The 13,779-nt window shown below is 46.0% G+C and overlaps 1 protein-coding gene and 1 pseudogene across 5 annotated transcripts in view, besides 1 other annotated feature; one reads left to right on the top strand and one right to left on the bottom strand.

Annotated features, from left to right (window-relative positions):
- RPL29P26 (ribosomal protein L29 pseudogene 26) lies at positions 6,126–6,729 on the bottom strand (annotated as a pseudogene).
- Positions 12,822–13,221: an enhancer, noted in NCBI's record as "active region_6810". NCBI's record gives its function as "activates an Ori minimal core promoter by ATAC-STARR-seq in GM12878 lymphoblastoid cells {active_cell/tissue: GM12878}" and the evidence as "EXISTENCE:reporter gene assay evidence [ECO:0000049][PMID:35858748]".
- METAP2 (methionyl aminopeptidase 2) overlaps positions 13,005–13,779 on the top strand; it is a 41,688-nt gene continuing 40,913 nt past the window's right edge. For all 5 annotated transcript variants that reach the window (NR_133673.2, NM_006838.4, NM_001317182.2 and 2 more), the window contains exon 1: positions 13,005–13,183. Coding sequence is in view for 4 of the 5 variants with exons in the window: in NM_006838.4 (NP_006829.1) it covers positions 13,033–13,183 (151 nt within the window). In the remaining variant the exon portion in view is untranslated. The remainder of the gene's footprint in view (positions 13,184–13,779) is intronic.

Genomic DNA, 13,779 nt, shown 5'->3' on the forward strand with positions numbered 1-13,779 from the left:
AGAGACTAGCCTGGCTAACATGGTGAAACCCTGTCTCTACTAAAAATACTAAAATTAACTGGGTGTGGTGGCACATGCCTGTGCTACTAGCTACTTGGGAGGCTGAGGCATGGGATCACTTTAAACCTAGAGGTGGAGGCTGCAGTGAGCCAAGATCGTGCCACTGCACTTCAGCCTGGGTAACAGAGCAAGAGCTTGTCTCAGAAAAAAAAAAAAAGAAAAAGAAAAAAAAGAAAACTTTCATGTGGGTAACGATACTCCTGACATCTTGGGCATAAGAATATTGCTTTGGGCTGGGCGCGGTGACTCACGCCTGTAATTCCAGCACTTTGGGAGGCCAAGGTGGGTGGATCACCTGAGGTCAGGAGTTTGAGACAAGCCTGGCCAACATGGTGAAACCCCGCCTCTACTAAAAAAAAAAAAAAAAAAAAAAGAATACTGCTTTGAACCATATATGTTTTCCCCAAAGCGTAAGCCTCAATACGTGGACACCACAGAAGGTAAATTTCTACTATTAGGTATCTAACTTTATTCCAACTACAAAAGGAGATAAATTATAAGATTAATAAGTAATTTAGTTCCACTTCTGTCACCTTGAATGGAAAAGAAAAAAAAGTAAGTAATTTAGGATGTTATTGGATACAACTATGATTGAGAAAGAATGTGTATTTCAAGGAAGTAAAAGAAGACAAGCTTTTTATTTTATTATTATTATTATTTGACACGGAGTCTTGCTCTGTTGCCCAGGCTGGAGTGCAATGGCACGATCTCAGCTCACTGCAAACTTCACCTCTGGGGTTCAAGCAAATCTCCTGTCTCAGCCTCCCGAGAAGCTGGGATTACAGGTGCCCACCACCACACCCACCTATTTTTTGTATTTTTAGTAGAGACGGGGGTTTCACCATGTTGGCCAGGCTGGTCTTGAACTCCTGACCTCAGGTGATCCATCTGCCTCGGCCTCTCAAAGTGCTGGGATTAAGGTGTAAGCCACTGTGCCCGGCCTAGGAAGACAAGTTTTTTAAAGGAAAAATGAGGAGGATCACTGGCTAAAAGGATCAATAACGAGGGTGGAGCCAGTCAGAGTATGGACAAGCAGTTGCTGGGCAGGTGTCCTCACAGAAATGTTTTGTTTTGTTTAGTTTTGCAAGATTGCTATGGCCTTTGTGCAAGGCTGTCATTTTTGCAGTCTTTTACCGTAATTCTTGTTATCAGACTTTGGGCATGAGAATCCTCCCTTCATGGCTTTCTGAGGCTCTATTTTTCAGGGTTTTGTTGTTTGGCTTTTTTTTTTTTTGAGACAGAGTCTTACTTTGTCCCCAAGGCTGAAGTGCAGTGGCACGATCATAGCTCATTGTAGCTTTCACTTCCTAGGCTCAAACCATCCTCCTCAGCCTCCCAAGTAGCTGAGACTACAGGCATGGGCCACCATGCCAGCTAATTTTTGTATGTTTTGTACAGATAGGGTTTCACCATGCTACCTAGGCTGGTCTTGAACTCCTGGACTCTCCTGGACTCAAATGTTATGCCAGCCTTGGCCTCCCAAAGTGCTGGGATTACAGATGTGCACCACTATCCCCGGCCTTGTAAGGGTTTTTAACACAAGTGACTCCATTATGATTCTGACAACTTTCACACTTTGTCCCTTGAGTTGGTGTCCAGGAAAGTACATCACAATCTCTCCTACGTAGCCTGTTTTGATGCCCCCTAACAAAATTGCTCTATCTGAAGTCAACAGTCTATTGTGAGACTTTGTACTACTTGATCTTTCTACAACAGCTGACATAGGTGATCAAACTATTTCATGAAACATTTTCTCTCCTTACCTTCATGTGATTTTTCTCTACAGCATTTTCTCCTTCTTGTCTTACCATTCCCTTGTAGTGTCCCACTCTCCCCACAAACAAACAAAATCTCCAAAACATTAGTGTCCTTGTGGGTTGTGTTTTGTTTTTTGGTCCCCTTCCTGTCTTCCTGAATGGTCTTGTTCATAGCCTCTGCCACACGGAGGGCCTAATTACTCCCGTGTCTGTATCTCTAGATGCATATTTCTAACTGACTACCAGATATCTTTGCCTGGGTGCCCTGCAGGCATCTCAAATTTAGAATACCCAAAGCTTATCTTCCATTCCACTTCTTCCAAAACCTACCTCTCCTCCTTCATTCTCTATCTTAGGGAGCGGTACCCGTCTCCACCCAGCAACCCAAGCCAGAAACCTGGGTCTCATGCTCAACTCCTCTCTCTCTGTGCTCAGTGCACTATTAAGTTCTCTTAATATCTCTTTAGAAATGTTTCTGTGGAGGCCGGGTGCAGTGGCTCACGCCTATAATCCCAGCACTTTGGGAGGCTAAGGCAAGTGGATCACTTGAAGTCAGGAATTCCAGACCAGCCTGGCCAACATGGTGAAACCCTGTCTCTACTAAAAATACAAAAATTAGCCATGCGTGGTCGTGGGCGCCTGTAATCCCAGCTACTTGGGAGGCTGAGGCAGGAGAATCACTTGAACCCGGGAGGCAGAGGTTGCAGTGAGCCGAGATCGCAGCACTGCACTGCACTGCACTCTGGCCTGGGCAAGAGAGTGAGACTCCATCTCAAAAAAAAAAAAAATGTTTCTCGCCTGTAGTCCCAGCTACTCAGGAGGCTGAGGCAGGAGAATTGCTTGAACCCGGGAGGCAGAGGTTGCAGTGAGCTGAGATCACGCCACTGTACTCCAGCCTGGGCGACAGAGCAAGACTGTCTCAAAAAAAAAAAAAAAAAGTTTCTGTGATGCAGCCTCTCCTCTTAGACCCCAACCACAGCCTTTGCATAAGTTCCCATCAATATTGTTATCAGCAATAATTTGGCAGTTCTCCCATAACACTAGGCTCTCCCATCTCCAATTATTTCTTTAGAATAGAGACCATCGGACTTAGGGATGTCACTATTAAGAAATGTTTAAAAAGTGGTTTTGAGAACTAACATAGTTTTGCCTTTTAAAAAATGTTGTCAAGGCACTGAAAAACAGTATCTATTATCACTGTCATTTTATAATAATAATGTAAAATGACTAACTTCAAAAAATAAAAAAAAACCATACTCTCAGAAGACAGTTCTTTAAATATATTTGGCTTTTTATTTTATTTCTTTTAGTTTTGAGACAGGATCGCCTAGGCTGGAGTGCAGTGGCACGATCATAGCTCACTGCAGCCTCTATCTCCTAGGCTCAAGCCATTCTCCCGGCTCAGCCTCCCAAGTAGCTGGGACTACAGGCACCCACCACTATGCCTAGTTAATTTCATCTTTTCTTCTTTTTTTTTTTTTTTAGTAGAGATGTGGTCTCTACTATGTTGCCCAGCCTGGTTTGGAACTCTTGAGCTCAAGTGATCCTCCTGCCTCAGCCTCCCAAAGTTTTGAGATTTGTCCTGAGGCTGACCAGGCACATCTTTGCCCTGAGTCTAAAGATCTTTTAGATCCCTTGAGAAATTCCTCAGCTGACCGGGCACGATGGCTCACGTCTGTAATCCCAGCTACTTGGGAGGCTGAGGCATGAGAATGGCTTGAACCTGGGAGGCAGAGGTTGCAGTAAGCTGAGATCGCACCCACTGCACTCCAGCCTGGGTGACAATGCGAGACTCCATCTCAAAAAAAAAAAAGAAAGGAAAAATCCCTCAGCTTTGTGATAGACTATCTTAGAATAAAAAAGAATTAATAAATAAGTAAAGTGTTAGCATCTTATTTCATTTGTTTACACATCTGTCTCATTGAATTCTAAACTTTCTTGAGCGTACAGATTTCTGTCTTATTCAGTTTTGTGTTTTTCACCAAGCAAAATTACTCCCAGTCTGCAATTCTCCTGCTTCAGCCTCCTGAGTAGCTGGGACTACAGGCAAGAAACATTTTTTTTTTTTTTTTGAGACAGAGTCTTGCTCTGTCGCCCAGGCTGGAGTGCAGTGGCATGATCTCAGCTCACCGCAAGCTCCGCCTCCCGGGTTCACGCCATTCTCCTGCCTCAGCCTCCCAAGTAGCTGGGACTACAGGCGCCTGCCACCATGCCCGGCTAATTTTTTGTATTGTTAGTAGAGACGGGGTTTTGCTGTGTTAGCCAGGATCGTCTCGATCTCCTGACCTCGTGATCCGCCCTCCTCGGCCTCCCAAACTTCTGGGATTACAGGTGTGAGCCACCGTGCCTGGCATTTTTTTTTTTTTTTTGAGATGGAGTTTCTGTTACCCAGGCTGGAATGCAGTGGTGTGATGTCGGCTCACTGCAACCTCAATAAATATTTACTGAATTGATTTGAAATTTCAACTGGGAAGGTAGAATTCAAAATCATTAAACTTTTGGTATCTGATAACCTGGCTTTGGATTCTGACTCCACTATTCACTTGCTGTATGACCTGGGGCAAGTTGCCTAAACTCTCTCTGTAATTTCCTCAACTCAGAAATGGATTAAATGAGATAATGAATGTAATATGCTGGGTGCTTAAGTGCTATTTATATAGTGAGTATTTACTGAGCTCCTACTATGCCTTAGGTTTGAGGCAGGTGCTGGTGATAGTGCAGAAAATATGCAGGGGCCGGGTGCAGTGGCTCACACCTGTAATCCCAGTACTTGGAGGCCGAGGTGGGCAGATTGCTTGAGTTCAGGGGTTCAATACCAGCCTGAGCAATGTGTTGAAACATCATCTCAAATAAAAAAAAAAAAAAAATTAGCCAAGTGTGGTGGCATGTACCTATAGTCCCAGTACTCAGGACGCTGAAGTGGGAATCACTTGAGCCTAGGAGGTTGAGGCTGTAGTGAGCTGTGATTGTACCACTACACTGCAGCCTGGATGGCAGAGTGAGACTACCTGTCTCAAAAAAAAAAAAAAAAAAAAAAGAAAGAAAGAAAAGGAAAGGGAAATGTAATATGCAGGGCTCCTGGGGAGACAGCCATAAAACAAATAACCACATAAATAAATTCATTACACATTGTGATAAGTACCATGAAAAAAAGTTAAGAATTCAATGAAAGGTTGTGAGAGGAGGACCTGATTTAGAAAATTATGGAAGGATTCCCTGAAAAAGTGGCACTGAAGCTGAAACTTAAAGGATGGGGAGGTTCTCTATTTCCCCACCCCCCCAACTCATTCCTCAACACTTTTTTTTTGTGTGTGTGATGGAGTCTCGCTCTGTTGCCCAGGCTATAGTGCCTTGGCACAATCCTGGCTCACTGCAACCTCCGCCTCCCGGGTTCAAGCAATTTTATGCCTCAGCCTCCCGAGTAGCTGGGATTACAGGCACCTACCACCATGCCTGGCTAATTTTTGTATTTTTAGTAGAGGCGGGGTTTCACCATGTTGGCCAGACTGGTCTTGAACTCCTGACCTCATGATCCACCCACCTTGGCCTCCCAAAATGCTGGGATTACAGGCGTGAGCCACCGCGCCCAGCCTCCTCAACACTCTTTAGTCTGGTTTCCATCTCTCTACCTAAATAGCTCTTGCTAAGGTCACCAATGGCATCCAAATTACTATGTACATCAGTCCTCTTGCGTGACCTCCTAGCTACACTTAACACAGTTAATCATGCCCTCCTTCTTGAGAAGGTCTTCCCTTGGCTTCTCTAATAAGAAATGCCTCCTGATCATTTCCTCCCTCTCTGGTTACCTCGTCAGTCCTCTTTGAAGGTTCATCTACCCCACTCATTCATTAAATGTTCCCCAAGGCTTAGTCTCAGGTTCGCTTTTTTTCTGTCAGCCTAAATAACAGAGAGAGTCTCTGTAAAAGAAAAAGATATGTGGTAAATTATGTGCATATCCAGGGAGGTTTAAAAAAAGATAAAGGTATTTAAAGGAAAAATGAGAAGGATAATTGTTTTGAGATAATTATCCTTGGCTACAAAGATCAATAAAAAAAGTGATGCCAGTCCAGAGTCATACAGGCAGTTGCTGGGTAGATGTCCTTGTAGAAGTATTTTTTTGTGTACAGTTGGGATGGCCTTTATGCAAAGTTGTGGTTTTTGCAGAGTCTTTTGTGATAGTTTTTGTTATTAGGCATCCAAGTGTGAGAACCCTCTTTTTATAGCCTTCCTCAGCTCTTTTTGTGTGAGTTTTTTAACACTAGTGACTCCATTTTGATTTTGACAACTTCCATACTTCTTTTTTTTTTTTCCTGCCTCAGGTTTATTTGTACAAATAGCACAGGAGGACCCCAGCCCCATGCAGATGGTAGCCCAGGGGCGGGGGTGGGGGGTCGCACCAGTCCTTCTGTCCTCACATTGGCAGAGATATCTACTCTGAAGCCTTTGTAGGGGCCTGGGCACCTTTGGGAGCCTGAGCTGGAACTGAAGCTGGAGCTGCAGCCTGGGCCTTGGTTTGATCCTTGGCCTTGGCCTTTGGCCGGCACAGCCTGAGCCCTTTGGCAATATGGGCACAAGCACGCTTCCCAAGCTTGGGGTGGGCAATGTAGGCAAGTCAATCGAGCTTGTGGCTGACACCCTTTGGGATCTTGGGCTTAACCTCCTTGGGCTTTACGAGGGCCTTGATAGCCTCGGCACGTGCACTCATGGCCTTGGCATTGTTGGCCTGCATCTTCTTTAGGCCCTTCTTGTTGTGCTTCTTGGCAAAGCGCATGTTCCTCAGGAACTTGGGGTCCACCCCCTTAAGAGATTCGTATCTTTGTGATCGGGGTTTCTTGATACCATTTCTGTGCCATTTTCAGGACTGGTTGTGTGTGGTGTGGTTCTTGGACTTGGCCATGTCTGCACCTTAAGCTGACAACTTCCATACTTCTTACTCTAGACTTTGTGAAGGTTGAAGATGCCAAAATGAAATCGGTTTTGTCAGACACAGACAAAAAAGGGCCAGGAAGGTTGAAAGGAGAGGAGGCCTATGCTTATATGTCTAAGAATTGTTTCCAAGGATGTTCAAAAAGCTCTTCCGCATCCTTCAAGCATCTCCTGATTTGATAAGGTTTATCACTAGACATTTTTTAGGACTGCTGTAATTCAGGTAAAATGTTCTCAGAACACTTACCCAGTAAGGTGTCTCCACCAATGAAATGACAACTCTGGCTTTGAGCCTCTAGAAACAATGATCTGTTTCTAAGCAGTTTATATAAATCTCTTTTTTGTTAATAAAAGCTCCCCTTCCCTCACTGAGTGCACTGGAGGCTTGCCATTTCCTGCATTCTGGATTATAATCCTTATTTCTATTCCCAAGTAAACCCAACATGTTAGAGATAATTTTCTCTTGCTTTTTTTTTGAGACACAGTCTCACTCTGCCACCCAGGCTGGAGTGCAGTGGTGCAATCTCGGCCCTCTGCAATCTGCCTTGCGGGTTCAAGTGATTCTCCTGCCTCAGCCTCCCGAGTAGCTGGAGCTACAAGCACATGCCACCACACCCGGCTAATTTTTGTATTTTTAGTAGAGACAGGGTTTCACCATGTTGGCCAGGCTGATCTCGAACTCCTGATCTCAAATGGTCCACCTGCCTCGGCCTCCTAAATTGCTAGGATTACAGGTGTGAGCCACCACACCTGGCCGTTTTTTCTTTTTTTTGAGACAAGGTCTCACTCTGTCATCGAGACTGGAGTGCAGTGGTGATGAGATGGGATAGTTCCCTTGACCCCCTTGGTGGGTGGGAAGTGGAGTGACTGGTTTCACTAAGCCCACTGCTGGCCACTCCTCACGGGAGGGAGTGTGCGAGAGAGCGAGTGTGGGAACTGGAGTGAACGAATTCTGGAACCAGCCAGTTGCTCCTTTCTGGTGGGAGCAGGCTCTATGTGGGCCCTGCAGCAGCATCCAAGCATATTACAGCCAATGCTCTGTCCGCTCTGCCTTCCAGGGATGGCCAAGTGCCAACCAGCTCAGTGGAGGGTCAGGGTGGCAGCCCCTATACTCTCAGGGGCTTCCTGGTTCTTGTCTGGCATCCAGGAAGAATCAGGTCACATGAACGGGTTGAAAGGTAATGAATGCAGACAACTTTATTGAGCAGTGGGTGGCTCTCAGCGGAAAGAGAGGCTGGAAAGGGGGTGGGAAGGTGATCTTTACCTGAAGCCCACCCATCTCTGGCTAGGCCCCTCTCGGAAGCTGCACGTCCAAAATTAGCTGCATCTACTCTCTAACACTTAGTTGTTTCTTTGCTTGCCACTCAGCCGCTCGTGTTCCCGACGCTCAGCCGCTTATGTTGCTTTGCCAGCTTAAGTCTTTCATGGGCACAGGATGGGGTGGGGCAGGCCAAAAAAGCAACATTTGGGCAGAAAAATGGGGTCAGCTGTTTTCACTTAGGGCCATGGTTCCAGGCTTAAGGGTGGGGTTTAGCTGGGAGCCCAGCCCTTCTGTGACAGTGTGATCATAATTCATGGCAGCCTTGACTTCCCCTGGGTCAAGCAATCCTCCCACCTTAGCCTCCGAGTAGCTGGGACTACAGGCACATGCCACCACGCCCAGATAATTTTTTAATTCCTTGTAGAGAGGGGGTCTTGCTTGGTAACCCAGGCTGGTCTCTGACTCCTGGCTTCAAGTGATCTTCCTGGAGTGCTGGGATTACAGGTGTGAGAAACCATGCCTAGCCTCTAGTGTCTTTTTTTTAAGGTTGACAATTTACATTTCCAATAGTCACTCACGTAATTTTAAATTTTCTAGTAGCCACATTTTAAAAAGTAAAAAGAAACAGGTAACAATCAATCTTAATGATGTTTTTATTTAACTCTATATAAAAATTATCATTTCAACAATAAATATAACATTATTGAGAAACTTTAGTATTTTTGTATTAAGTTTTTGTAATTCAGTGTGTATTCTAAATTATGGCATAACTCAATTTGGACTAGCAGCATTTTTTTTTTTTTTTTTGAGATGGAGTGTTGCTCTGTCGCCCAGGCTGGAGTGCAGTGGCACCATTTCCGCTCACTGCAAGCTCCATCTCCTGGGTTCACGCCATTCTCCTGCCTCAGCCTCCCGAGTAGCTGGGACTACAGGTGCACACCACCACGCCTGGCTAATTTTTTGTATTTTTAGTAGAGACAGGGTTTCACCTTGTTAGCCGGGATGGTCTCGATCTCCTGACCTCATGATCCGCCTGCCTCGGCCTCCCAAAGTGCTGGGATTACAGGCGTGAGCCACCGCGCCCGGCCTGAACTAGCAGCATTTTAAGTGCTCAGTGGCAACGTGGTAGGTGGCCACCATGCTGTGCAGTACAGGTAGACTCTCATGTCTAGATCCACTTGCTGGATGATCTTATCTGTGTCAAAGTTCCAATTCCCATCTATTAGTTGATGACTCAAATTTTTATATCTGCTCCAACTATTCTTTTGATCTCCAGTTCCTTATAGTTATCCACCTTCTTCACAGCTCCACTTTAATGCCCCAAGACACCTCAGACTCAGCATGTCTCACATCTAACTCATAATCTTCCCTTTCAAATCTGAAATGTTTTTCTATCTCTGTTATTTACATTACATTACCAGTCAATCCAGTTTCACCAGCACACACCGAAGGGGATTCCTTGATATCTTCTTCTCTCTCAAATCCCTTATACAATTCATCACCAAGTCTTGCCCATTTTATCTCCCACATATCTCTTAAATCTATTCATTTTTTTGGTCATACCCATCATCATTCCCTTTCAAGCCACTATAACCTATTGACTGTAATAGCCTCTAAACTGATCTCCCTGCTTTCATTCTGGCCACCCTCAACTCTACTCTGTACACTGCAGCCATGGTGATCTTTTCAAAAATCTAATCATGTTAATTGCAACTCTCATCAGGTTAACTGTCTCCTCACCATTAAAATACTTAAGGGGGCTGGACACAGTGGCTCATGCCTATAATCCCAGCACTTTGGGAGGCTGAGGAGGGCGGATCACCTGAGGCCAGGAGTTTGAGACCAGCCTGGCCAACATGGTGAAACCCCGTCTCTACTAAAAATACAAAAATTAACTGGGTGTGGTGGCGCGTACCTGTAGTCCCAGCTACTCGGGAGGCTGAGGTGGAAGAATTGCTTGAATCCGGGAGGCGGAGGTTGCAGTGAGCCGAGATCATACCACTGCACTCCAGCCTGGGCGACAGAGCAAGACTCCATCTCAGAAAAAAATAAAAAATAAAAATAAAATACTTAAGGGAGGTAGGTGGATCACCTGAAGTCAGGAGTTTGAGACCAGCCTGACCAACATGGTGAAACCCTGTCTCTACCAAAATATACAAAAATTAGCTGGGTGTGGTGGCATGTGCCTGTAGTCCCAGCTACTTGGGAGACTGAGGTGGGATAATTGCTTGAACCCAGGAGGTAGAGGTTGCAGTGAGCTGACATCACGCCACTGCATTCCAGCCTGAGCAACAGAATGAGACCCTGTCTGAAAAATAAATAAAAAAAGTAAAATAAAATACTTAAGAGTTTTATATTGTTCTTAGGACAAAGTATAAAGCCCTTAGTATGATCTAAAAGGCTCTGTCAGCTCTCCTACCCTTTCCTTCCTGCAAGGCTCTTACCTTTCTAGTCTCATCTCATCACACTCACTCCCTTCTCCACCTCTTTGCATTCCAGCCATTCTGGATGTTTTTTAGTTCTTTAAATGTGTTATACTCCCTACTGTTTTACAGATGAGAAAATCAAGGCTCAAAAATATATGGGCTGTCCAGAGTCACAAAATTATAGCCAAATGACCATTCTAGTATTAGAATCCATGTCTCCTCTTAAATACCTCTTAAATTTTTCTTTACCTTCCCTTTGCCAAGAATACTCTGCCAGGCGCAATGGCTCATGCCTGTAATCCCAACACTTTGGGAGGTTGAGGCAGGTGGATCACCTGAGGTCAGGAGTTTGAGACCAGCCTGGCCAACATGGTAAAACCCCGTCTCTACAAAAATTAGCTGGGTGTGGTGGTGGGCGCCTGTAATCCCAGCTACTTGGGAGGCTGAGGTAGGAGAATCGCTTGAACCTGGGAGGCGGAGGTTGCAGTGAGCTAAGATCAGGCCACTGCACTCCAACCTGGGTGATAGAACGAGACTCCGTCTCAAAAAAAAAAAAATACTCTCTCTAAACCTTTCCCCTCCCCTTTGCCTATTTATCCTTCAGATCTCAGCCTAATTGCTACTTCCTCAGGAAACTCTACCAGGCCATCCTACCTAGGCAAGTCCCTTTGTAATATGCTCTCATAGCAGCAGTTGTAAATTTGCTTTTATTAGCATCATTGCTTGATGTCTATTTTTGTTAACTGGCTCTATGATGACAAGGATCATCTCTGTTTTTGCTCTCTAAATATTGCCAGATCTAGGTTTATAGTAGGCATTGAACGAATGGATGGATGAGTGAATAAGTGAATATGTCAGCCAAGCAAAGAGCAGCCCAGATAAAAGTAACAGTGAGTTTGAAATGCTCCAAGGTCAGAAAGAGCTTTGAGAGCTGGAGCTATAATAGTAAGAGAGTGGAGACATTGGAGAAGTAGATATGGCTGGGTCTTGCCGGGCATTTTAAAGGATTTTGGACACATGGAAGCTACTTCTATTTTTATTTTTGTGGTATTATGTTTGGTTTACCAACTTTTTATTTTTTATTTTATTTACTTTTTTGGGGGGGATGGAGTCTCGCTCTGTCGCCCAGGCTGGAGTGCAGTGGCGCAATCTCAGCTCACTGCAACCTCCCCCGGGGTTCAAGCGATTGTCCTGCCTCAGCCTCCCTAGTAGCTGGGACTACAGGCGCCTGCCACCACGCCCGGCTAATTTTTGTATTTTTAGTGGAGACGGGGTTTCACCATATTGGCCAGGCTGGTCTCGAACTCCTGACCTTGTGATCTGCCCACCTCGCCCTCCCAAAGTGCTGGGATTACAGGCGTGAGCCACAGCGCCCGGCCGGTTTACCAACTTTTATATTGCCAGCAATCAACTAGGGAAAACAATTTAAAATCTAAATAGGGATAGATTTAAAGAGATAAAGATCTGTACAAGAATAAGAGGAACAGTTTTTATTACTATTGGATAGGTGCTGCCTGAAGCTTTAAGACAGAGAATGTACATTTATGCAGCTGCAGTCAGAGCCTGTGTGAGGTTTACTGTAAACTCACTGGCAATAAGGCTCTTAACGACATTTTGATGCCCATGAAGCTTGGTGCCTAGTTTAAAACTAATGAAAACACCTAAACTCTCCAGGTGGACAAAGCCATATTCAGGAGAAATTGAGAAGGAGTTGGTGCAGGCAGCCAATCACAATCCACTTACGCCACAAACTAAATCTCAAACTGCGGTTTGAACATGAGGCTCAAAACATAAGAAGTAAAGAAATGGGCAAAATTCAATTAGTTTCTGGTGAAACGTCCTAAATCCAAAAGAAAGGTGACCAGAAATAGAGAAAACGGAGTGTGATCTTTTGCATTAATGAGAGAGACCGTGTCCCCGTGTGTTAAAACCTGTCATTCTTGTCCTGAATTGGAAAGTGAGCGGAGTGTGACGGGTTCCCATCTTGAACCGTCCGGGGTTGAGTAGTACAATAAACTAACACGGAACTCCAGCTTCCAAAATTCTCTCCAGTGCCTACAGAGCCTCGCGGAGAGCTGTGATTGTGAATGTCAACGCAGATTTGATTAAATCTCTTAGATTTAAGAGATATGTGGAGTCATGACAATAGAAATGTGTACAAGTGAACACATTTCTTAGCCCGTTTCCCCACTGCCTGTGTGATTTATAAAAACGCAAATATAAAATATTTCCGTTCCAGCAGAGACGCCGCTTGCTACGGCGGGTTGCCCGTCTCCACAGGTATCTCCGGCTGACTCTAGAGCTCAACTTCCCCTTTAAACTTCACCCTGCGCTTGCCGATTTGCTTCGGGAATGCCCGAGGCACCGGACGAAGCAGTCGGGTCTGGCCCCAGTCGACTCCAGCCAGGCGGGGCTCCAAGCCGAGACTCCTGCACGCCCGGCCCGAAGCTAGCCCGACACCCTCAGCTGAGTCCTCCGCCGTCCCAGCATTCCCTGCGTCCCTACCATCGAGAGCAGCTTCCGGCGTGGCTGGTGTAGGCGGGTGGAGAAGGATCGGGGCCCTCGCCGCTCTGTCTCATTCCCTCGCGCTCTCTCGGGCAACATGGCGGGTGTGGAGGAGGTAGCGGCCTCCGGGAGCCACCTGAATGGCGACCTGGATCCAGACGACAGGGAAGAAGGAGCTGCCTCTACGGCTGAGGAAGCAGCCAAGAAAAAAAGACGAAAGAAGAAGAAGAGCAAAGGGCCTTCTGCAGGTAAAGAGAGTTTTATGTTTTCCCAGTCCCCTCCGGGAACGGCTGAACTGTTTGGCTCAGGCCCGTTGAGGGGGCCGGGACCGGGGCCCCAGAGCCCCGACTAGACTGATTCTTGGGCCTGACAGGGTGGCAAAGCCGGGCTATAGATTCCTAGTCTGAGAAGAGGCGTCATCTCCTCCTGTGGGACTAGAGGGCTGGTGGGGGAGAAAAGAGTGCCTGAGGTTGGCGTGTGGTACCTCTGGGGTCGCTGGGCCCGAGCCCCTGTATTACCAGAACTCAGCTCCCACGCACATCGTGGCACGGTCTTGAGATTGTGCGCAGAGCACAGCCCTACCATCTTTCGCGCGATTTGGCCGCCGCCTCAAAAATCCGATTCTGATCCGTATTGCCGCGTCTTTGCTGGTTTGCTGGAGCAAGCTAGGACTTATTTTCTTTGGGGGTGGGCAAATGTAATGGAGAGCACACCTCCTCCCACTATCCCGTTTCACGTTGGGGTTGTTGCAGCCTGCACTTTTGGGGTGTGTGTACATGTGTGTTTGCCCGCGCGCTCATGTCATTAATTGCAGAATTTGTGGTGGTGATAACGAATTTTCACC

Source organism: Homo sapiens, chromosome 12 (genome assembly GCF_000001405.40).
Source record: "Homo sapiens chromosome 12, GRCh38.p14 Primary Assembly".
Taxonomy (NCBI): Eukaryota; Metazoa; Chordata; class Mammalia; order Primates; family Hominidae; genus Homo; species Homo sapiens.